The sequence below is a fragment of the Homo sapiens genome, chromosome 1, assembly GCF_000001405.40.
Source record: "Homo sapiens chromosome 1, GRCh38.p14 Primary Assembly".
Classification (NCBI taxonomy): domain Eukaryota; kingdom Metazoa; phylum Chordata; class Mammalia; order Primates; family Hominidae; genus Homo; species Homo sapiens.
This window is the reverse complement of record NC_000001.11, coordinates 221,817,320-221,841,419: the sequence shown is the minus strand read 5'-3', so window position 1 is coordinate 221,841,419 and position 24,100 is coordinate 221,817,320. Positions and strand designations below refer to the sequence as shown.

The 24,100-nt window shown below is 41.6% G+C and overlaps 1 long non-coding RNA gene and 1 pseudogene across 1 annotated transcript, besides 4 other annotated features; both read left to right on the top strand.

Moving 5' to 3' along the window:
* The first annotated feature begins 753 nt into the window (after positions 1 to 753).
* Positions 754 to 13,754, top strand: LINC01655 (long intergenic non-protein coding RNA 1655). Its single transcript, NR_125989.1, has 4 exons — positions 754 to 884; positions 967 to 1,112; positions 7,074 to 7,128; positions 13,664 to 13,754. It is a non-coding gene; the product is annotated as a long intergenic non-protein coding RNA 1655 (long non-coding RNA).
* Positions 870 to 2,069: an enhancer, noted in NCBI's record as "P300/CBP strongly-dependent group 1 enhancer chr1:222012693-222013892 (GRCh37/hg19 assembly coordinates)". NCBI's record gives its function as "activates an origin of replication core promoter dependent on BRD2, BRD4, P300/CBP, MED14 and CDK7 cofactors, with strong dependence on P300/CBP, by STARR-seq in HCT116 cells {active_cell/tissue: HCT116}" and the evidence as "EXISTENCE:reporter gene assay evidence [ECO:0000049][PMID:35650434]".
* Positions 1,554 to 1,603: an enhancer, noted in NCBI's record as "active region_2572". NCBI's record gives its function as "activates an Ori minimal core promoter by ATAC-STARR-seq in GM12878 lymphoblastoid cells {active_cell/tissue: GM12878}" and the evidence as "EXISTENCE:reporter gene assay evidence [ECO:0000049][PMID:35858748]".
* Positions 1,974 to 2,053: an enhancer, noted in NCBI's record as "active region_2571". NCBI's record gives its function as "activates an Ori minimal core promoter by ATAC-STARR-seq in GM12878 lymphoblastoid cells {active_cell/tissue: GM12878}" and the evidence as "EXISTENCE:reporter gene assay evidence [ECO:0000049][PMID:35858748]".
* Positions 3,983 to 4,086, top strand: RNU6-403P (RNA, U6 small nuclear 403, pseudogene; annotated as a pseudogene).
* Positions 5,015 to 5,221: a silencer, noted in NCBI's record as "fragment chr1:222009541-222009747 (GRCh37/hg19 assembly coordinates)". NCBI's record gives its function as "represses an EF-1alpha promoter that drives an FKBP-Casp9 reporter gene in an ReSE screen in K562 erythroleukemia cells {active_cell/tissue: K562}" and the evidence as "EXISTENCE:reporter gene assay evidence [ECO:0000049][PMID:32094911]".
* Positions 13,755 to 24,100: the final 10,346 nt, after the last annotated feature.

Sequence of the window (24,100 nt, the reverse complement as noted above, 5' to 3'; positions counted from 1 at the left end):
CTGCAGTTTTCACTGTTCATAAAATTTTCTGGCCTGGCTTGCTCATTCACTTCTCAGCTAGTTGTCAGTCATCATTGGAGTGGACCTCCACTGATGATCTGCTATGTGACTAGAACTCTCCTAGGCAATTACACATATTATCTCCTCACTTAACAAATCTACCTTTGTTACCCCACTTTACAGGTGAAAGAGAGAAGACTCATGAATTGTCAAAGCCACCTGGGTAGTGAATGTCAGGGCTGAGACCCAGATCCTCGACTGTCTGACATGATCGTATTCTTTCGTACTGCCTGTTTCACTGCTCTCTCTCCATAGCAACATGTCCCATCCCTCTCCCTACTCCAGTCTCCTACCCAGTCCCCCACTCTCTCACACTCACACACATATGTACATATACACCCTGCCCCATGACCTGGAGCAATGTGTATCTTGAAGAATCAGCAACCCTCAGCACTCAGATCACTGCCCAGCCTCAGCATCTCAGCTCATCTTGTCTTTTGTTTGTTTGTTTGTTTTGTTTTTTCACTTTAACCTCATTAAGGGTCAGCAAAGGATCACTTAAATTTTGAGTTATGCTCTGTCACATATTATGGGGTAAAGGTTGCATCATAATAATATTTTGGAGAGTCTTAGAGACCTCTGGACTATCCCATGTGAATTATGAGGTCATAGTACATATCCTGCAGGCTTTCAACCTTGACCAGAGGTTTTCATAATGAATGCAGCATCCCTGGGGAGTGATCTGAAGCTGGCGAGGCAATGAGAACACCCTGGCAGGGCAGCTGAGCTGGGTGGATCCTTGTTCTGTCACCAAGCCTTTAAGTCATATGCTGACATGTTACAGTCCTGCCTGGGACCCTGCCCACAAATACTTAAGATACACGGTGAGCTCACAGTCTGCTTGTCTGAGGTGGGAGAAATCATCTGTTCCATTCTTAAATTCCTCCTTTCTCTTTCTTTCCCCAGACTTTGGGAATCACCCAACTGATGGAAAGAACCAGGAAAGGGGTCAGGATCTGCACCTTGGCAAACTTTGAAGAACACCCAATTTGATGAATGAAAACTCCTCACTTGTGCTCTGGTGGTGTTTTAGGACAATGGGCCCCTCCTGGGTAATAGTTATTGATGCAGTCTCTATCAGTAACCACCCCAAGTTTGAGATCCTTTACAAGGGAAGGTCATATTTCCAAAACTGAAACCTTGACCAAGTATCCCAGAGAGATAGGAAGGAGATACCACTCAAGTGTGTCATGGGCCTGTCCCAGGGCCTGGGAGTCAGCAGTTGGTGGCCTGGGATCCAAGGGTTAACAGCATGACCTGTTCTGGCTGGCACCAGTCACATGGTGTGCCCAACCTCACTGTTATTATCTGTTTCGGGTGAGTCACTGAGAACACAGACAGGAAAGACCCATGAACTTAGCTAGTTTCGCCCCAGGGTGTGAGACTCCACACAACTGAGTCTGGGCCACTGGCAGTGACTCATGGCGGGCCTCATGGGATTGCTGACGCAAGGTTGGAAGGGCACGTGGTTCTTCCCCCCACCGCTGGGTAGAATCCCCGCCAAAACATCCAGGCTGGAAATCCATCTTGGTCCTTGGGGAGAGAGAAAATAAAAAAGAATCATTTCTGATACTATAGCAAAGTATACAGGTGGATTTGGCAGGTCCAACTGACGAGTCTTCCACATTCTGAAAGAATTGGCTTTCTCACAATGTTAGAGTCTCTAGGAGTACTGGGGAGTGCAAATTCAACTGTTATAACTGGCATATGCAGAGAAAACGGCCCTCCTATCTCTTTTCTATGACTTGTGATGTCTTCCTCCTACTCCTGACCATCCTCTTTGGGCCCCTGGGGGTTCCTGGCTGATTTAGCCTCACCTGAGCTCTTGGTGTCACTAGAGACAATCAGTGTGGCTGTGAGTCCCATTCATTCACTTCCTGACCAGGCTATCACTCTGCCCTGTTCTACCTTTGCTGTTGGAGTTCAGGACAGGCTGCTCCAAAATATGGCCCCTTGGCATTTTAGAAAACAGCAGAAGCAGTAAGGACACTCTCTGACCTCCTCTTGCCCTTCTCCCCTAAAGCAGACTATCAAACCTAGACAGAATTTTCTGACCACCTGAAAGAGACCACAAGATCCTCATTCAAGAGGTGCCTTCAGGCCGGGTGCAGTGGCTCATGCCTGTAATCCCAGCGCTTTGGGAGGCCGAGGTGGGCAGATCATGAGGTCAGGAGATCGAGACCATCCTGGCTAACAAGGTGAAACCCCTGTCTCTACTAAAAACACAAAAAATTAGCCAGGCGTGGTGGCACACACCTGTAGTCCCAGCTACTTGGGAGGCTGAGGCAGGAGAATCACTTGAACCCGGGAGGCAGAGGTTGAAGTGAGCTGAGATCACACCACTGCACTCCAGCCTGGGTGACAGAAAGAGACTCAGTCTCAAAAAAAAAAAAAGGTGCCATCTCTATACCTAGAGGAAAGGAACATCCTTATCCTCAAAGACACAGAGGCCAGGAAGAATCTGAACAAGGAGGTCTTGCTAAGTTCCCCCAAGGTTGTTACCATCAGATCACACCTTTTTGTCCTCCAATCATATTTCTCCATGACTATCCACTCTTCATCAACCCAAGCATAAAAATAAACAAGCTTCTCTCTTTCTTTGGGTCTTCGTTTCCAAAGGCTTCCATCCACATAAAACTTACATTAATACATTTGTATACCTTTCTCTTGTAAATCTGTCTTTCGTAAGGGGCACCTTACCCATGAACCTAGCGATGGATGTGCAAAGAAAAGGAACCTTTCCTCCCCTCCACCGGTGAGCTGGACTCTCAGCCACATTTAGGTCCTGACTCAGGCACACAGGGACCCAGGGAACCTCACGAGAGTTAAATCTCAAGAACTCCCATTCTGCTGCCCACCTGCTATACACAAATGGGGTCTCAAAATGGGGAACAAAGTCAAGAGCCACTATCTGCCCTTGGTGTTTCTTTTATTTATCATCATTTTCTCTTCTTGATGAATTTCTATTGCCATTCATTCAAAAGACCTATTAAGTACCTGCTATTTGACAGGCTTAACTGTGACCTCATCCAGGAAGTTTTCCAAAAACTTCCTGAAATGTCTCTTCCTGCTCTGTCTTTCCAGGGCACTTTATTCCTACCTCCTATTCTGCCTCTCACATATATTGCAGGGATCTGTCACTCCCCTGTTCTGTAGACCTCCCATGTTCCTGCTCGAAAGGAGAAGCAGTCTTATTCAGCTTCTCGCCACCAGCGCTTGACACTCTGAATGTCTGTTGATAAAAAATGAATAACGAAAGGAAACAGAGGCGCAAACTTAAGTATAGAAACTCTTCATACTCAGAGAGGCAGCATGGTTTTGTGGTTCAGGGCACAGGCTCTGAAGTCAGACCGCCTTGGTTTTAATCCTGGCTGTAAGATTTAGCAGGAGTATGAGCCTAGGCAAGTTATTTAACTGCCGTGTGCCTCACCTTCCACATTTGAAAAGCGGCAATAATAAGTACCTGCCTCATAGTGTGCTCGTGTGGATTAAATAAAATAATCTATAGTAAGCATTCAGAATAATGACAGGTATGTAGTAAATGCTCAGTAAATGTAAACTATTACTGTTTGTTCTTCCCCAGTGGATTTGAGTCTTTATGGTGAAATGCGTATGCACTTAGATGAACAAATGGATGGATTTAGGGTGTGATTTGAGTTCCATTTTCAGTTAAAAACAGAGGGGAAAAGTCAATGGATTTTATGCTTTGCCGTCAGACTTCCCCAGGTAGATGGGAGATACATCTAATTTGTATTCTCTTTGCTTTACATGGAATCTAATGCAACAAGAAGGATGAAGGGGCATAGCAAAGTGTAGCTGTGTGTAACAAAGAAAATATAGTTGGAGGGCAAAATTTGTCATCAAAGAAGGAAAAAAGTATGCATTTTTCTTACTGAAAAAAAATGCATAGTTTTTTCGTTGTTTGCTTCAGCAGTACATATGCTAAAATGGGAATGATACAGAGAAGATTAGCATTGGCCCCTGTGCAAGGATGACATGCAAATTAGTGAAGTGTTCCATATTTTAAAAAAATCATGAAGGTAGGATTTGGGACCAGTTCCACAATATGAACTGCTAAAAACCCATAAGATAAATGGTTACTTTTAGGGAGCTGGCAGCAATCCCTGGTCTGAAAACATGTAATTTGAGACAATTTAGTTAATCTTGAATTTGAACAAGCTCCTCAATAAACTCTTTAAAAAGTGTCAAATGAGCTTTCTCTAAGGATTCCCCCAACACTCACCTTTGGTCTGGTAGCTCTCACTGGTGTCTCACCTCTCTGTTCAATGTCACAACTTTGCTAGAAAGTATAGTGGTGCCCCCTTATCCATGGGGAATATATTCTAAGACACCCCAGTGGATGCCTAAAACTGCTGATAGTACCAAACTCTTTATGTGCTATGTGTTTTCCTATACATGTATATATATGATAAAGTTTAGTTTATAAATTAGGTGTACTAAGAGATTAACAACAATAAACTAGAATAGTTGTAACAATATACTGCAATAAAAGCTATGGAAATGTGGTCTTTCTCTCTCTTTCAAAATATCTTGTTGTACTGTTCTGCAGGGTAGTTAAAACTGCAGAAATCAAAACTGTGGATAAGGAAGGACTACTGTAGTCACAGACTCTTCCAGAAACAGTCAGATGAAGTCTTGAAAAAGTGCCCATGAACATGGGAACCACTTGTAGCAGATCATGGAGACCACAGAAAGTTAAAACACACAAAATGCTGCCTCCAGTTCCCAGAGCACTGAAAAGAAGAGTCTCACGCTAGGTTGGGGAGTTAGGGAAAACGTGCTAAGCAAAATGAGGCAGAAAAACACACACACACACACACACACACACACACACACACACAAACACACACACACGGGAAGGTGACCAAAAGTGCAGGGCAGCATGAGGGGAATTTGGAGCACACCAGGGAAGTGAAGTACAGACTTGCTCACACTCCTGCAACTCCCTCACCCTCTTTTCCTGGATCTCTGGCTTTCCCTGGATTTCCCGTAATAGGATCTTCCATTTTCACCTCTTCTTTTACTCCCCTTCACCCTCTGTCTCATTTACTTATGAACTGAAACTGGCCTTCATCGGCTGGAGACAAGAAAGATGTTTAGCCCAGTGGTTCTCAAGGTTTGCTGTGGGGGAGTCAGAGGCTGGGCAGTCTCCATTTGTCCTGCAGAGCCACTCACGGTCCTTCTCACCATGCCCCATGCCCTAGGGGGCTGCCTCCTGTGTAGCAAAACTACAGGCTCTCTTGCCTCTGGCTTCTGGTTTGCAGAAGATTGGCAAAGTGAGGTTGGTGTCCTTATACCCCTATTGGGCCATCAAGCACTGGCTGAGTCCCTCCATGGCAAAATTCCAAGCACATCCTATCTTATGGCCCTTCCCACAGTCCCTCTGCTCCAGATTCCAGTAACCCATTTGCCGCGCGTGCCCCTGCATAGCTGCACCTAGGCTGTTAACAGCGCACAGCACTTGTGACTTCTCCTTACCCCGACTACCTCTCTGAAATGGTCCCTTTATTAAACCCTCCTAAAATTATCCTAATTTGAGTGTGTCATCAGTTTCCTTCAGGGGCACTGACACAACAGGGAGCTTGTCTAAACTTCAGATTCCTGGGTATTGACTGCAGAAATTCTGAATAAATAGGAGGTCCTGAGGGGATCTACATTTTTAGCAGGTGCCTAATTCTGATGCTGGTGGTCCAGGGATGATTTTGAGAGAGATTTGCCTACACCTTAACTGTTACAGTGGACACAGTTCAGATTGAGTCAAATAGTGAGAATAACGCAGCCCTCATAGTTCCCATTGTTCCATTGTCTCTCCTGAGAAGTCCACATTTCTGGGTGGGATCATTGTGAGCCAAGTTGGGAAAGGCAGGGAGATTTCTGAACCAAGCCCTGGAATCTGTGGGAGGGCTCTGGTAGCCAGAAAAGTAGAATTACAGAGCATCAGAGTATGTGACATAGAGTTTCTCAACACCTCATCGATTTATGCTGGCACAGTTTACCTATAGCCGAGGGCCCCTGAAGTTTATTTGTATTGATTGCAACATCACTCACAGAATGGGGAGATGTAATAGATGGCATATGCTCGAACATGAAGTTGAAGAGTGGGATCTATGCAAGCCAGCCATGCATGCCACTGGTCTCCCCAATGGTTGTTACTAACACAGTGTGAAAAGGAGGCACTTGGCCAAAGAGAAAAGAATCAGAAAATGAACTGGTGTTAGGGAAACAACAAGCACCAATCAGGCATGCAGAGAAAACCCAAAACCTACTTGCATCTTGAAGTCCTATGGACAGAAGCCTGTCCTGTTTTGCAAGTATCAGGTGTATTCCTGGAAGATGACTATTTCAGGTATTTGGAGTAATACTTGTTTAGGTAACAGGGCAGACAGCAGAGGTGGTTGAAGAAGAACAATGCCTCTTCTGGGAACTGCAACCTCCTGCTGTTTGTCTGTTTCCCTTCTTAGCATAGTAACTCAGAAGGTAGAGGGGCCAGCTCAGATTCTCCTTCACAAGGACATGCTGTAGATGTCAGGCCCCACCACTAGTGCCTGCCTTGAAGGTCTTCAAGCAAGAATCTGGTCATAGACATCCCCTTAAAGAAAATCTAATTTAAATCCTCTGCTATTGCTAAATGATGTGCCAGAAGAGATTACCCAAATAAACTAATTTGCAATGACTTGAATGAAGTACACGTTCCCCTGGCATTCTGCTTCCCACCATAGCACGCCTAGGTGTGATATGCTATTAATCCCTTGGTAGCTCTAGAAGAAGAAGATGGGCTGTAGTATCTAAACCCTGGATTCAAATCTTGGCTCTGTCACCTGCTTTGGAAGGGTTATTTAACTATTCTGATTATTTGTTTCTTAACAAAACTGAAAAAGTCTGGGAACCTCATAAGAAGATGAAATATTTCATCGTATTGATGTATCTAATCATAACACAGCAGCTGTTATAAAGGTGTCAAATGAGAGTGGTCATTCTTCTTACTCTTCTAGATGCTCCAGTGAAGCCCCATATCACCTTTTTCCTTCCTGTTTGCCATAGCTCCAGGTAAGAGACACTGTAGTCAAAATGACAATTTTGATTTCAATCTTGAAATGTGCAGCCTAAATATAAAGCTCATCTATTTGGTTTGAGGTTCAGAGACCTGAGCAATTCATTCTGAGAGATCCAGGTTCTAAAGTAACTTGATCCCTGCACAGGAAACAGTCTCAACAATGACCTTGTCATCTCCCATTCATTCTAATTTCCTGGGCACCAAAGACTTCTACTACCTCAGTGGAGAGTCAGATCAGAAGCTATAGACTCCATCCACTAAAACTCAATGGCCCTCTCCCAGCCTGCCCCCTGTCTCAGGTGAATCCAGGCAGCCTGTGAGAAGATGAAACTCCCCTGCATGAATTTTTTTGGTGAGAAGTTTTAAAATCACTAATTCAATCTATTTACTTGGGTGTTGTGCCATGTGTAACACTTAGAATCATCCCTGGTGCTCTCCTCTTATGTATTTCCTGCATGAATATGAAAACATCCTGAATCTACTGAACTTAATCCCTCAAACCTGCCATTTCACCAATGACCTACCCTAAATCACTAGCTGGGCCCATTTGACACTCATGAGCCTAGATTATTTTTCACCTAACTCTACTAGCAAAGAACTTGTGTCCTGTGACTAGCTATTGGCATTGACATTCCTCCATCCATCCATAGTAATATACATATTATTGGGTTCACTAACACTACATGTTAGTGCCCTCTTAAATCTGGAAGTACTTGGGTGAGTATGAGGAAATTTGGTCTATTGAAAGAAGCATTGAAGTGTTGGATTGAGGATTAAGCACTTGACCTTGGTAGCCTATATCTGTCCCCAAATAGCCAGTGTCCCTGTGGAAGGTAGACTCCATCCAACTCCAAACCAAGCCCCTGGAAATGCATCCCTTGTTCTTATTGGTGGTAACAGGCACCTCCTTGAACCTCTCCCCAGCCTGGCCTCTCAAAGCACCAAACAAACCTGAAATTGTCTCAGGGGAGCCCCTGTCTCTCTGACACCAGGGTATTAAGAAATTGGACAGAAGCCCCACTAAGCAGAGTCAAATGTAACTCTCAGCCTAAACCTGATAGTCTCTTTCTTCCCACCCAGATACAAGGTACCTTGACAACAATCCTTTAAAAATCAAATAAAGTCCCCCTTGTTCTGTGTTGATTTTTAAATTTTCACAGATTTCTCCTTTTGCTAAAGCCAAATGTAGCTGCACAACTGCTTTTACGTTCTTTGCAAAAAAGCTATTATATTAAAAAGAAAATGAGAACGCTAGGCTGTGCTGCCCAGTGGCTCCTAATGCCTGCATTACACAGACAGAAAACTGGGATTGGATCCTGCCCATTTTTCCTAAGGGGATGATGGTATAGAATCTGTTTAGTCAAGAGCAGAGGGTAAGAGAGGATAACATTTTTCTCCAAACAAAGGAAGGGCATGTATCCGCCAAAGGTTCCTGCAGCCAGGCCTAGGAATATCACCAGTGACCTGGCTTGCTTCCAGTGGGCCTGTTTGGTTTTGTCCTAGCATAGAACATAAACAGCATCCCATAGTCTAGGACAGCCAGAGGCTAAAGTGCCTGAGAGATTCTCAACCCTTTCTGTAACTATACATTTATTTTAAGTTCACTCCATGGACCTCCTCTAAACCCATAATTTTAACCTGAGTATCTTTTCTACTCGTTTTGTAGGTTTATATGTCACTGCTGTTTTATGCTACAAAGTTAATTTTCCTTTAATTCTCTTTATGTCATGATGAATTACTTACATTTAGGATCACTGTGTTTTTCTTTCTTTAGACAGAGACAGAGCACCTTAAGTAGTTATTCATAACATTGGGACCAAACTTTGGTAGTTTTCCTTTCTGACATCACAACTTGGTTCAGATTAACAAAGCAGTGGTCCCTGCCTCAGAAAGATGATTAAATTCCCAATGACAGCAAAGTTCACACAAAGCAGGTCTAACAAGAAGCCACAGTGTCTAGCGGCAGCCTGCAGTTATATGTGACAGGAAGCAAGGAGAGGGCTGGAAACTCCAGCTGGAGCAGTGCCTGACATGCCTTTACAGCCAGAAGTCTTTCATGTTTATTGATGCTAAGGAAACAATTATAATTAGTTATGGCTAACTAGGCAACATGAAATACCTTTCCATTTATTCTTAATTCTGTTTCTGCTCTTACTACCACCACCACTACCATTGATAGAAACTCTATGGAAAGAGGAAGAAGGGAGAGTCTGTGGGTAGAGGGAGGGATGGAGGATATTGGGCAGGTTGGAGCTAATGAAGGTAGTCTGAGGAACATCACACTATCAACAGTCTGTTCAGAAGGGAAAGTGATGACAACAGTGAGGACCTTTGTGGAGTGCTTGCTCTATGCTGGGCCCTGTTGTAGGTTCATTACCTGTATTATTTCACTAAATCTTCACTACAACACTATCAGGTAGGAACCATTATGATCCCTTAGAGTAAATGGATTGCTGCCACATTGCATGTAAAAGGGTGATGTTACATATACAAAGTAATATTGCATACAGATTGAAATCACATGTAAATTAAGATTGATATTGCATGTATGCAGATCATAGGTAGAAGGATGCATTGGAATCAAGGCCGTTTGTCAAGATGGCAGCACTCATTGGAAACTCTTCTTTCCTAGGGGTTACTATTTAAACCAGTGGCCTAGTTTAGAAAGTAACTTTGTGCCTCTTGGAAAAGGAGTTGGGAACAAAAGGAACTAGTTGCTCGTAGGAAAAAAGCAAACACAGAGAGGTTCTGAGATCTGCCCAGAAGGGGATCTGAAATCAAGACTAAGTGTGTAGTCCTTCACGAAGCAGCAGGCAAGGCTCATCTTAGGAGGAAGAAGAGGAAGCCATCATCTATGTGTCACAGGTGCTGAGGTGTAGGAGACCCCAACCCTCCAATCATCTTCCCTATTTAATTTGCTAATAATGCGTCAACATAGTAGACCCTGGCACACATTAGGAACTCAATAAATGTTACTTTTCTTATTTATTGGGTAAGATCCAAGTGCTTTATCCGTGAAGTACACCTTTCTGTAAATTTAGTTATACTGTCCATTCTCAAGAATTGATTTTAGGGCTGGGCACGGTGGCTCATGCCTCTAATAACAGCATTTTGGGAAGCCAAGGCTAGGAGTTTGGGACCAGCCTGGGCAACATAGTGAGACCTCATCTCTAAAAATGTTTAAAAAGTAGCTGGGCGTGGTGGTGGGTGCCCATAGTCCTAGCTACTAGGGAGGCTGAGATGGGAGGATCCCTTGAGCCCAAGAGCTTGAGGCTGCAGTGAGTTATAATTGCAAAACTGCACTGCAGCCTGAGTGACAGAACAAGACTCCAACTCACACACACACAACAAAGTTTTTGCTAAACAGAAGAGAGATTTTGGGGATATCTGGCAATAAAAGGAGAAAATACTCCAGGGGAGATGGATATGGGAAGGACAGAGTGGGACACCTAAGAGAAGCCCCACATGATTTTCCCAATATTGCCTGGGCAGCCCTAGGAGCTGAGGGATGGGACAAGGAGATACCAGCAGCCTGCAGAAAGCTGCAGAGCTGAACTTGCACACACACCATCCACGGACACCTGAATGCAGCCCATGTTTATGCCATAGCATGTGCTCTCTCTTATAAGCCTCATGCACCCGCTATGTTCCTTTAGCAGGAAAGCCATAGATTATTTTTCCAGTGAGTGGCCATTTGGAGGGAGATGTGCAGGTATTCGGTTTACAACCTCTCCCTGCTTGTTGCACAGCATAGGAAGGTGTGGAATGTATGATGGCACAAATAGTAGAACCTCCTCAAAATACTCTGAAACCTTCATCCTTTGCAAACCCAGAGGCTCCTTCCATCCTCCACTATTCTCTTTCAAAAGTCAATTATTTTAATCATAGCAAAGCTTTCTTGACCCCATATGTGTCCCAACAACCAAATGACAGTCTCAACAACATTTACCTGTTAGCTATGGATTCTAGTCTAAAAGGACTCATGTTGCTTTCATCTTCCTAGATCCAGTGCCTGGCACAGTGAAATAATTCAAAAATGTTTGTTGAACCCTTCGGTGATTTTACTATGTGCAGAAATGTATATCAAAATATTCATTGAAACATCTCAGCCCTGGATCTAAGAGTGGGTTAGGTGTAGGAAGAAAGGGTAGTGTACCAAAAAAAAAAAAGTAATATATGGTTTCTGTCTTCTAGAAGTTAAAAGCACATATTCAAAAGACAGGTAAGTAGCAACAGGCATGGTATGGTTAAACACTAAAATTAGTCATTTACATATTATCTGTTTTTCTCATACCCTCACTGTGCATTAGAAGCTTTGTAAAAACTACAGATGCCTGCAGTTCACACACAGAGATTCTGATTAGGTCTGTCTAGTCAGAGTCTACATTTTTAAACAGTCCACAGGCGATTCACATGCGTATCCAGGATATGAATCACTGTAACAAGTGCTAGAGAACAGAATTAAAACAGCTACCAGCAAGAACCAGAGTGGGGGGAGGAGTCTCACGGCACGATTGGAACCTCTTTTGAACCCTGAATCATACAGAGAATTTGGATTGTAGGGATGGAGAGGGGAGAGCCTTCTGGTTGGGAGGAAGAATTGAAGACATTGTGAACAAAGGAGGTTGAAAATTAGGGAGAATTAGGGAGCTATTGTTTAAAGGATACTGAATTCCAGATAGGAGGAATAAGTTTAAGAGATCTATTGTACAACATGGTGGCTAACCACAATGTATTGTGTACTTGAAAATTACTGAGTAGGTTTTAAGTGTTTTTGCCACAGGAAATGATGTGTGTGAGGTAAAATGTATGTTAATTAGCTTCATTTCCCCGTTCTATAATGTATATATGTTGTACCCCATACATGTATATTGTTTTTTATTTGTCAATGAAAAAAGCAAATTAAAAATGCCAATGTTAATTTAAAAAAAAGAGTTGAAAGTCAAATGGATACCTATTTGCTTAGTGGCAACCACATCTCAGAGTAAGGTGCAGAGGTGCCCATGTGAAGATGGGCACTGGTTGAGGTAGCACCACCTGCCTACCTGATGGCAGAAAGAATATCCTTAATGACCAAAGGAAGGCCACAGAGGGAAGGTAGGCTTTGGCCATGTGAAACCAAAGAAAATGGCTGAGGTGACTCAATCAATCTAGAGATTTATTCTGCCAAGGTTGAGGACGCACCCAGGAAAAAGGAACACCTGTGATTTGTGCTTTTTCCAAAGAGGGTTTGGGGTCTTCAACGTTTAAAGGGGAAAGAGTAAGCAGTTGGGGAAAGAGGAAAGAAAAAATAAAAAGGGAAGAATACATAAAAGAGGCAAGCAATGGCATTCTTTTGAAGCTAGATCCGTGTTCACTGAATCCACATTTTAAATGTGAAAAGAGGGGACAGAGGAATAGTCAACTATGCATTGGCTCCAGCTCAATGAATCTGCATTTTTAGGTAAAATAAAGTAAACATAGAGTAAAGGAAGCATTCAAATATGTATTTGTCTCAGGTGAGCAGAGGGATGACTTCTAATCCTGTCTTTGTTCTGTACCTATGAAGATAAGCTGTTGATTTACATTATCAGGGTGAAATTCAACAGAACTCTGTTTTAGGGTAAAGATCTTGGGGTGCACAGAGAATTTTCTTGTGAGTGAATTGTGAGGGAGGGCCCCTGGGGAGGCCTGTAACCTTCTACCTTTGTAGCTATCTATTTAGGAACAAAATGAAAGGCAGTTTTGGGTGACTCAAGCTTTTTTTTTCCCCTTTGGCATAGTGAGTTTGGGGTCCTGAAATTTTATCTTCTTTTCACAGCCATAGCCTGGGAAGTAGGACCCCTTTCTTTGTACCTGCAAAACAGCTGTGGATGGCTACAAAAATGGTCTTGAAAAAATGTTGAGATAGACAAAGAAACACATGCATTCCCAATCACAGATTTCATTATTAACTCTATCTCAAGAAAGGTGCTTGAGTTTGAGGTCCCACATTCTTGGAATGGTGACTACTGGGAGCTTCACCTTAAGGGTTGAGGATGTGTTTCCTTGGCTTCCCTCAATTCCCAGATTATCAAGTTTCTTTCTTTCAGTGACTCAGTGACAAAAGTCTTTTGCCTTTCTACTTCCTTTCTAGGGAGTAATAAAGAAGAGGGGTATGAGTGGGACTCAGGGATAAATGGAGGTAGAGAGGAGGTTCAAGAGATGAACCAAAAACATCTTAAATAAAAAATGCTCCCAGCAGAGGGTCAGGGGTGGATGTGCCTGATTCTGAATGCAAGTCAAATATGCATTTGTCTCAGGTGAGCAGAGGGATGACTTCTATCTCTGTCTTTGTTCTGCACCTATGAAGATAAACTGTTGAATATAAGATGTTCCTACCTGTTCTAGGGCAAGACAAGATAGTTAAAAAAAAAAAAAAAGAGGTGATGGTAGATGCTACCCCAAATGGAAAGGTGAGGGGTTATTGATGGCACACACCAAATTTAGTAAGCTCACTTATGACACCCAGTAAGGACTGTTTCATTGCATGAAGCACTTTTTGTGCAGGTGTAGGGACAGATCAGAAGATTCTGGAAAAGGCAGATCACCAAAGAACTCAAGATGTACTGATATTTTGCCAGTTTCCTTCATCAACAACTTGTCTTCTTTACCAACTAAGGGCAAACAAAGAGAACAAACTAAAAAAAAAAAAAAAAGAAAAGAAAAGAATTAAATAATTAAACAAAGAACTTAAATAAGAAGGTAAGACCCCCCCCCCAAATCTCCCAAGATAGTGAGAAATGTATTTGCGTCATGTCTGCCTAACAATGAGCTATTATTAGGATGGTAGAAAATAGCAGCAAGTAAGGACTACAGATTTCACCCAGAGGCAGAGCAGACAAAAGAGACAACAGTTTCCTGGGAAAGGAAGATGATTCCAGTTTAATTCATCCAACAAAACTCTTCCAAGAATGAGACCAGAAACCCTAACTGCATCTTGGAGGGAGCTGGAGGCTTTCCCATCACAATGAGGCCAACTGCTACCATGGGTGCCAGTGCCAGAGCCACTGTCTGCAGGCACTATCATGTCTGTGTGGGCCAAGGAGCAATCTAAATTAAGATGATCATCTAGGTCCTCAGGCCCTCAGGGTGAGTACATATTGCAGCAGTTTCAGCCTGTTTCATGCCCTCCATCTGCAGATCTACAATGTCTATAGCCAGATTCACTGACCCCCAACCCCTCAACTTCAGATCTCAATCCCCAGAACAATGTGGGCTTAAGACAGGAAATATTGAAGCGGGTTTAGCACTTCCTCCTCCTCCCCCAACAGCAGTGGCATCCTGGTGTTGAGTCATTCTCCAGATTAGGTTGAACCAGCTGACCACTGGGCTCCCTGTGTGTCACCTGAGTCACCCTCACTCTTGATTTGGCCTAGGGGTCCTCAGTGGGCTTCCGCCCCCACCCCTGGGTTGCAACTCTCTAGTCGAATAACATTCCCACTGTAATTACAAAACTCCTATACCCAAACTTCTTCCTGGGAAACACTGAAGAGTGTTGCACTTTTCCTTCTTTCTTTCTCTCTTTCTTCCTTCCTCCCTCCCTCCCTCTCTTTTCTTTCTTTCTTTCTTTCTTTCTTTCTTTCTTTCTTTCTTTCTTTCTTTCTTTCTTTCTTTCTTTCTTTCCTTCTTTCTTTCTTTCTCTTTCTTTCTCTCTCTCTCTTTCTTTCTTTTCCTTTTTCCTTCCTTCCTTCCTTCTTTCTTTCTTTCTTCCTTTCTTTCTTTCTTTCTTTCTTTTCTTTCTTTCTCTTTCTTTCTTCTTTCTTTCTTTCCTTCAAAATGGAGTTTCACTCTGTCACCCAGGCTTGAGTGCAATGGCGCCATCTCGGCTCACTGCAACCTCTGCCTCCCAGGTTGAAGCGATTCTCCTGCCTCAGCCTCCTGAGTAGCTGGGATTACAGACGTGCACCACCATGCTCAGCTAATTTTTGTATTTTTAGTAGAGACAGGGTTTCACCATGTTGGTCAGTCTGGTCTCGAACTCTTGACCTCGTGATCCACCCACCTCGGCCTCCCAAAGTGCTGGGATTACAGGCATGAGCCACCGCGCCCAGCCATGAGTTGCACTTTTCGACCTTGGTTCTCATCTCATCCTTGGTTCAACCATCTTGTCTTGCTCTTGATTTTCCTGAAATGGGAGAGTTCCCTGACCCCCCTCACAGAACATGCAACAGGGGTGTGGCTTGTCTGTTCAGCTGCCTTACCTCCCTTATAGGAGTGGGAGCATGCAGACGGGCAGGTGCAAGAGCCAGGACAAGCACTTTTGGGCTCAGGCTCCATGGTAGCATCTAGGGGTGGGTGCCTGCAACTCCCAAAGCCCAGGTGGGTGTGTTACAGTGCTCTTTTAGCTCTGCTGTCTGCAGATGGCTTAAGTGTTAACCAGCTCAGTGCCCTCTTGGTACCTGAGTCCTTGTTCAGTATCCAGGACGAATTAGGTCACATGGACGAATTGAAGGTTGGCAAATGCAGGGGACTTTGTTGTCAGATGGAGATGGCTCTCAGCTGGAGGGATGGGGAGCTGAAGAGGGGATGAAGTAGGAAGAATGATCTTCACCTGGAGTTTGGCTGTCCTGCAGCCAGTCTCCTCTCCAACCATCCCCAGATGAACTCCTCTTGATGTTCAGATATTCCTTCTTTTCTCTCCTTCTCTGCCAGGCCCACTTTTCTGCCTCTGCTCATCTACTTGTGGAGCATGGGATTTGGGGTTTATATGGGTATGAGATAGTGGGGCATGGTGGGCCAGAAGGCAACATTTGGGTGCAAAAAGAGAAATGCCTGTTTCTATTTAGGGCCATGGGTTTCCAGGCTTGAGGGTGGGGCCTTTGCCAGGGAACTGCCTTCTTCTACCCAGTATTTCCCTGTCTCTTGTCCATATCAGTACCTCTCTCCTTATCTGAGGTTAAGATCAGGGGAGTCTTTAGCTCTGTATCTTAGTTTAGTGTTGGGGTCTGGATTTCTGGGGAACAAATCTGCCAGAGGCTGGCACCCTGCCCTGAATTCCAAAAATTACCTGCCCCCAATTTTCAGTGGGCCCTGCTCATGTTTTGGCATAATTTGCAATTCCACTTGGAGCACCTGGTGCCAGCTACTTAGCTGAATCGCTATGTGGAAGGCTGAACTCCTTGCACCTGTGCCTTCTCCAACCTCTCCTGTTAGCTTGGCCTGTCCCACTCTGAAGGGCATGTCTAGTGCCAAGTCTCAGTCCCTTTCCTGCCTACACTGTCCTGCTCCCAACAAACCTCCACACCTCCTGATAAATCCTGGCACAAGAGAAGAATGTATGGGAAAGTGTCAGCCTCAGAACTTCTTGGGAATTGAGAGTGAGGGAGTTGCTGGGGAGGAGGGCTGGTCCCAGATCCTAATGCCCACCTTGCTTCTCCTTGAGGATTCTGGTTGATAAAAGATACACATATTGTTAAATGAGGATTGCAACATTAGTTCTGTTTGACTTTCTGTAACAATTAGAAGACTAGAGAATATAGCTGGGTTTCTGACCTCCCACTCAGAATTATAGAGAGCCAAGTCTTCCCTACAAGGTGGACTTATCCACCCAGTCCCAGGCTGAGAAGCTGGAGATCAGTCCTCCCTGCTCTGAGGTGGTCCCACCAAGGGGTTGACCCACAGAGACTGACCCATTGCTCTGAAATAAAGGCTAGTTCAAGAAGAATCAGGAAATGGGGGAGCATGTAGGAGAAGTGAGTGACCTTGAGTTTTTACCCTGCCCAGTAGAGGAATAGCCAGTGTGTCTGATAACCAAAGTCATTCTTCTCTCTTTGGAGTGGGAAAGGTATAGGAATGAGGTAGGTCCTGAAAATTCCCACTCCATCCCTTCCCCCAAATGAAGAAGGTGTTGATGGAAGCACCTTCCTTTCTGAGTTGTGGAGGAGATGATTCAGCTGAGCCAAATGACATGTGAACAATAGAAACAGTTCTACCTCCCATGAACTGTTGGCTTGCTGTCTTCTTCATGAGTCAGTTTTAGCAGAGTGTGGCCAAGAAAATCCCCATGATGGAGACTGGGTAAACAGTCAACCTCTGTGGGTCACCTCCCTTCCATCCTCTACTCAGTGCAAGTCAAAGCTGCCCATCACTGGGCACTGGGCAGTCAGGGGACTCCTGATGACTGACTCAGAGCAGAGTGACGTAGTGACAATCAGGCACAGAAAATCAAGTTCCACAGAAGCCTGACAAATGAGCGCTTTTCTCTGCTCTCAAATCCTTTTCAGTGAGGAAGCTTTCTCCAGCATTCAGGTGGCACCTAATGCTCCATCCTGAGACCACAGAGATAACTAAGATGTGCCAAAGTTTTTGAGGAGAAGGTGACATCGATGCTCTGTATCTCAGTTCAGAGGCTAACTGTATGTGTCACAAGTAGCATCTGTGGATAAGTGGTGGAGAACTTGGGAAAAGACAAACATCTTGGGAAAAGAAAACCCTTCCCTTGCAGCCACACACCAGAGACTATTCACAAGAGTCATCTTCAGTAGTGGGCAATTTCTCACACATCTGCACAGTTTATGGCTAACCTTGGAAATAAGCAACTAGGCTGGCTGAGTTCCAGTTCAAGAGCAATCAGGTAGGGCATGCAGCCTCAAAGACAATTTCCTTTATGATCCTTGTCTTGATTCTTGATGAAATGGGAACTTTAAAAAAGCTACTATAGGTGTAAGGAGATCTGACTTCATTTTTTACCTTTGAGAAGTTATTTCCTGTAATCATCCAAAGCTTGCCTGGTATCTCTCATTCCTGGATGCCAGTTTCAGCTTTATGCAGTGGAGTGCTTCTTTCTACTTTCTGCCTCCTTCCTATGGTGTAGTCTTCAAAATGAATCTCTGCTCTTCAGTGGTTTCTCTCGTCCCGTGGTTCTCACTCAAAGCGTGGTCCCTGGACCAGCAGCATCAGCATCACCTGAAAGTTTGCTAGAAATGCAAATTCTCAAGCCAACCCAAGACCTACTGAATCAGAAACTCTCGGGGTAGAGTTCAATAATCTGTGTTAACAAGCCCTCCAGGGGGATTCCAATGCATGCTAAATTTGAAAGCCACTCTTCTGGGGCAAATGATCCTTTTGATTAACTCCTACCACTGATATGCTGGGCCAGAGACCAAATGATGATCCAATTCTGTTAAATATTTAATCAATAAACAATTAATATTTAAGTTATTTTTGGAGGCTGCTCTGATCACTGGAATCCATGGCTAAAGCCAAGTTGTCTGAAAACTTATTTGTCACAAGCCCTCACAGTTACATTTTATCTTCTTCATGTACTCTAGATTCTATAAAGTAATTTGGTATCCTTGGCATAGTTTTCTTTGTCAAATAACTCTCTGCTGCTATAATAAGATCTACTGAGAGAGGCATCAAATGCTTTGTTAACGATCTATTCCATTCACACTAATGAAACCTCCATTGTCCACCAAAATTGGAATGGTGTCAAAGAGTCATCAAGTTTTCCTGAAAGGTTTTTTTGTTCCCCTTACGTGCCACCCAGGGCTTACCTATTTATACCCTATGAGCTCAGTTTGATTAGCTTTCAATGCGTTGTCTCACAAGTGATATTAGATGAATGAAAGGGTTGTTTCCTTTAGGCTCCATCATCAATGAGTTTCTTCCTGTGTTAGAGACCTCAAGTAACTTTAATGTGTCTTCAGGCAAAAGATGTCAGGAAAAACCTGGCAGGAAGGGGAAAACTGTGACTTGTCCCACACTTTTGTGTATCTTCCTACCTATACCTTCTGGTTCCTGACTTGGCTTGACTTGGAATTGCACTCCTTTTCCAAATGAAAACTGGTTATTAAAGCCCTTTTGCATGAATTTCTGTTAGCAGCCCACTTCCCAGGGTTGTCTCTCTCTCTCTGCCTCCAAATCTCAGATAAAATCTGATACCATACTCACCTCATGATTCTATTTCAGCCAAATTTGATTATTCTGGCTTAGCTTTCTCAAACTTCAGTGTATATCTGAATCAACTGGAGGCCTTGCTACTACACAGATTGCTGGGCTCCACTCCCAGAGTTTCTAATTCAGTAGATGTTAGATGGGCCCAAGAATTTGCATTTCTAAAAAGTTCACAGGTCAGGCTAATGCTGCTGGTCCAAGGACCACAATTTGAGAACCCCTGCTGTACACTGGCACACGGCAATACCTGCATTCTTTCTGATTATTGCAGTCCTGATGCCCTTCCGTTCTTATTGCAGTGTTTCATGTCTTCCTCTGTTTCATTCATTCCCTTTAGAGCATCGTATTTCTTGCAGGTTGCCAGGCAACTGTGATCTATTGCTTGGGCAAGAAAAGGTAATACAAACCTCACCATTTTCCCATAACTTTTATTTGGTACAGTGGAGTGACCTGGCTCCAGGAAAACAACTTACTTCTTTGCTAAAAGTAAAGTCCTTGGAGGGTGTTAAAGCCACACAGTATCTTTTAGAAACTTAATGTAACCCATGGTATTTACTGATAGACACCCAGACATATGTAATAGGATTATAGATCAGCCTCGTTTAAGATAAAGTTTGCTGGGGGAGATCAAAATTACTCCCTGTGGGACCTAAATTAGGTACAAAGCAATTAACTTTAAGCAACCAAAAAATTGGTTCTATAAAAATTCCATTTCAAATCAGCTCTAAACTACAAGCTCATTACCAGGTACCTTCACTACATAAGAGACAAACAAGTCTCTGGAGATGGAAAATGCGAACTAAATTTTGAGACACCTCATTGAATATAAAAATTGATGAAGTCTTAGATCTAATCTCTTATAAGGGTCAGCTATTTCTACAGACTTTCTGACCTTTCGAATCACTTCCACACCCAGAAAGACAAATCTTCTCATTCCTGAAAACAGATACGTTTATGTTTCAATTCCATTGATGGTTCAGTTGGTGCAATATTAAATACACTTGATTTCATTCCATTTCTTTTTGAGTGTGAGAATTTTAAACAACTTTTATTGAGAGCCAACACATCAGCTCAATAGACCTTTATTTTCACAATGTGTTTCTTTGCTTGGCATATGGTAAGAACTTTATAAGTGTTTGTCAATTAAACATTAATAGATAATTAATTGTTGAATGAATAAATTAATGAAAGTTGTTGACTTAATATATGATTATGAAATTAATGTAAGTGCTTTAAAAATTAGAAAATACAGAAAAATAAAAAGAAATAAAATAGTCATCCATAATCTCACAACCTGAAGCTAACTACTATTAATTTTTGAAACATTTTTCCCATCACATATGCCTATGTGTGTATGTAGGTATATATAATTATTACCATATTGTATATAAAATGTGACATTTTGTGAAATTTACTTTTATACTAGAAATTTGTAGCAACATAGATGGAGCTGGAGGCCATTACTCTAAGAGACTTAATACAAGAACAGAAAACCAAATACTGCATGTTCTCACTTATAAGTGAAAGCTAAACATTGAGTGCACATGAACATAAAGAAGGGAACAACAGACACTGGGAATGGGACCGTTAGTTGGGGGAGGGAGGAAGGGGGTCATAGACTGGAGAACCACCTATGGTTACTATGCTTACTACCGGGGTAATGGGATAGTCGAGACCCCAAGCCTCACCATCATGCTATTTATCCATGTAACAAACCTGCATGGATATCCTTTAATCTACAATAAAAATGGAAAAAATTTTTAAGTCACATTTTGTTAATTTACTTTTTTTTTTTTTTTTTTTTTTTGAGGCAGAGATTTGCTATTGTTGCCCAGACTGGAGTGCAATGGCACAATCTTGGGTCACTGCAACCTTTGCCTCCTGGGTTCAAGCAATTCTCCTGCCTCAGCCTCCCAAGTAGCTGGGATTACAGGTGCCCACTACCATGCCCAGCTAATTTTTGTATTTTTAGTAGAGATGGGGCTTCACCATGATGACCAGGCTGGTCTCAAACTCTTGACCTCAGGCGATCCACCCACCTCGGCCTCCCAAAGTGCTGGGATTACAGGCGTGAGCCACCATGCCCAGCCTTGTTAATTTACTTTGATAATGAAAATTTCCTGAAATCATTAGCAATTCACTGAAAACATCATTTTGATGGTCATGTAATATTCCAGTGAATGAATATTCTCAATTTAATACTTCTACTATTACTGGATATTAGGGTATATCTAATATTATTTCTATGTGCCTAGATAAATATGTTTCTAGAAAAATATTTTATGATTAGAATTTCTTAAAATAAAATCATTGGATGAAAAGATAGAAATATTTTTAAAGCTCTTGATACCTATTGCCAAATTGTTTTTCAGAAAGGTTGTACCTGCCTACAAGATTATCAACACCATGTGAGAACATCCACTTTGCTGAACTCTTTCTCACATATCACCTTTAGAGATGTTACATGGTATGCTTTTAATTATCATTTAATCCTTTGCTAGTTAGATTAAACATGGCAAGTTTCACTAACCGTTAGTACTTCCTTTTTATGTGAAATGTCTGTTCATGTTCTTTGTCCATTTTTCAATAGCATCTTAGAATATTTATTGTTCACTTGCATATGCTCTTTATACATTAAAGATATCAACCCATCATATATCGTCTCCTATTCTGTCAATTGACTTTTAACGTTATTAATGATTTTTTAAATATATAAATAAATTTTGTTCTATATGTTTTTCCCATAGCTTTTAAACCTAGAATGTATTTCCTCAGCCATAGACTAGATAATGAAACTCTATTTTTAAATAAAGATTTCTAAATTGGTTTACATGTTAAAATTAGCATTTTAATTTTTCTAAGAAAATATTTGGCATAAGAAGTAAAAACTTTGCTTTCCCAAAGAGACTAAATAAAACAAACCACACTTCTCCATTTATGATTAATATATATTAAGTGTATATATGTATGTAATTTATATACAGATATATATATAAATATGTGTGAATATGTGTACATATATACATGCATATATTCATATAATTGTACATCTGTACACAACGTATGTATATATACACACATACGTACATACATATGTGTATATATTTATACACACACACATACTTCTAGTACGATGTTGTCCCTTTTCACTGAATTATTTATCACCTTCTGCAATTGCATTACAGTTTTAATTATTATAGCTTTACAGTATGTTTTAATAACTAAAGCAAACACCCTCATTATGTCACTTTCTAAAGTATTCTTGGCTATGCTTATCTATTCATGTTTTCTCAGCTATTTTCAGACTGATTTAGTTGTTTTACCTCAAAAATTTCAATAGAATTGCATTAAAATATGTTTTAAATATTCACATTTCATACTGGGGTATACAATAAATCCATCCATTTATTTAGAACTTCTTTTATATTTCTCAGTAAAGTTTCACAGCTTTTTAATATATATCTTATCTATTTCAGGAAATATGTATCCCTTGTTGCCTTATATTTTTATCCTTATTGAGAATAGCATCTTTTCTCCTTGTAACCATTTAGTTGATTTTCAATGGCATACCAAAAAAAACCATATTAATATTAATGTATTTACTTGGTATTCAGTGACTCCACTGAAGTTCTTTCTTAATTACACTTTTATCCAGTGATTTTCTTGCATTTTCTTTGCAAACATAGAAAAAAATGATATAATTAACACCATTATGCTTGCCAGCAAACTTTAGCAAGTCTTAACTTTTTTCCGTATTTGCCTCTAATGCTTTTTTTAAATAAAACCATAGATGAAACGTTATTGACATATTTGAAAAGTCTGCATACCCCTCCCTAACAGTAGTCCCTTCTCCTTTTTTCTCAGAGATGTCTATGAGCCCAAAGTTACTTTCTAGGCTCATAGCCCTCCCTTTTATGGGTTTATACATATTACTTACATGTTAGTAAAAACTATCTGATTATTATGTTTTAAAATATTATGAAATTATATTATTGCATATATATTATTTGCAGTTTTTCTCAATAAAATACTGTAATATTTATTCATGTTGATATAGTGGTTCTCTTTTAGTGATTTTCATAGTTGTATTGCATTTGATTGTGTGAATATGCAACAATGTGTTTATCCATTTTTCTTCTGATAGGCCTTTGCTATTGACAGTGCTTCCATTCCCACATGTGTGGCCTTATGCAAATGTGCAAGAGTTTCTTTAAGACGTATGTGGGTATGCTCACCTTCCACATTATTAAATATTGCCAACTTGCTCTCTGCAGTCTTTGTACCAATGCAAGCACCCTCCAGATAGCTATCTGAGCAAGCTCTCCTTCCATATCAAACCCTGCATGAGGTACAATAAGACTTTTATTTGTCAATCTGAAGGGTGTGGAGTGATCTCTTATTTTGTTTTAATATGCTTTTACAACAGGCTTTTTTTGTTAAGGGCCAGGTTTGTTCTTTGAGTTTCTTTGGGTTTGTTGTTGTGTGTTTTTCAACCAACCATTCAAGAATGTAAAAACACGTTCCTTGCTCTCTGGCTCTGCCAAAACAACTTGTGGGTTAGATTTGGCCTGCAGGCCATAGTTTGCACACCCCTTTCTTTGTGAAAACCAGTGAAGTTGAGCATTTTTTCAGAGGATTATTGACCATTTTCCTCTTTTTAATTGAAACACAAATTTTGCCCATTTTTGTATTGGGTGATATGTCTTTTCTTATGGATTTGTGGGAGGTCTTTGCAAATTCTGAATATGAGTCTTTTCTCAGTTATATGTATTGTCAATATCTCTTCCATCCTTTGGCTTGGTTTTTCAATTACAGCACAATCTTCACTAGAAGTCATTTCTTGGGGTTTCTAAGTAGAATTTTGACCCTCTACAAATAATATATCCTCTCCTTTTACATACACAGTCATTCCTCTTATTTTTATTTCAAGCCTCATTACATTGGCCACAATGTTCACAGCAATTTAAAATAGTGATGATTATCTATGGTTACCATGTTTTATTTTTGATATTTTAAAATATATGTTGATCATGTGAGTTAATATGGTTG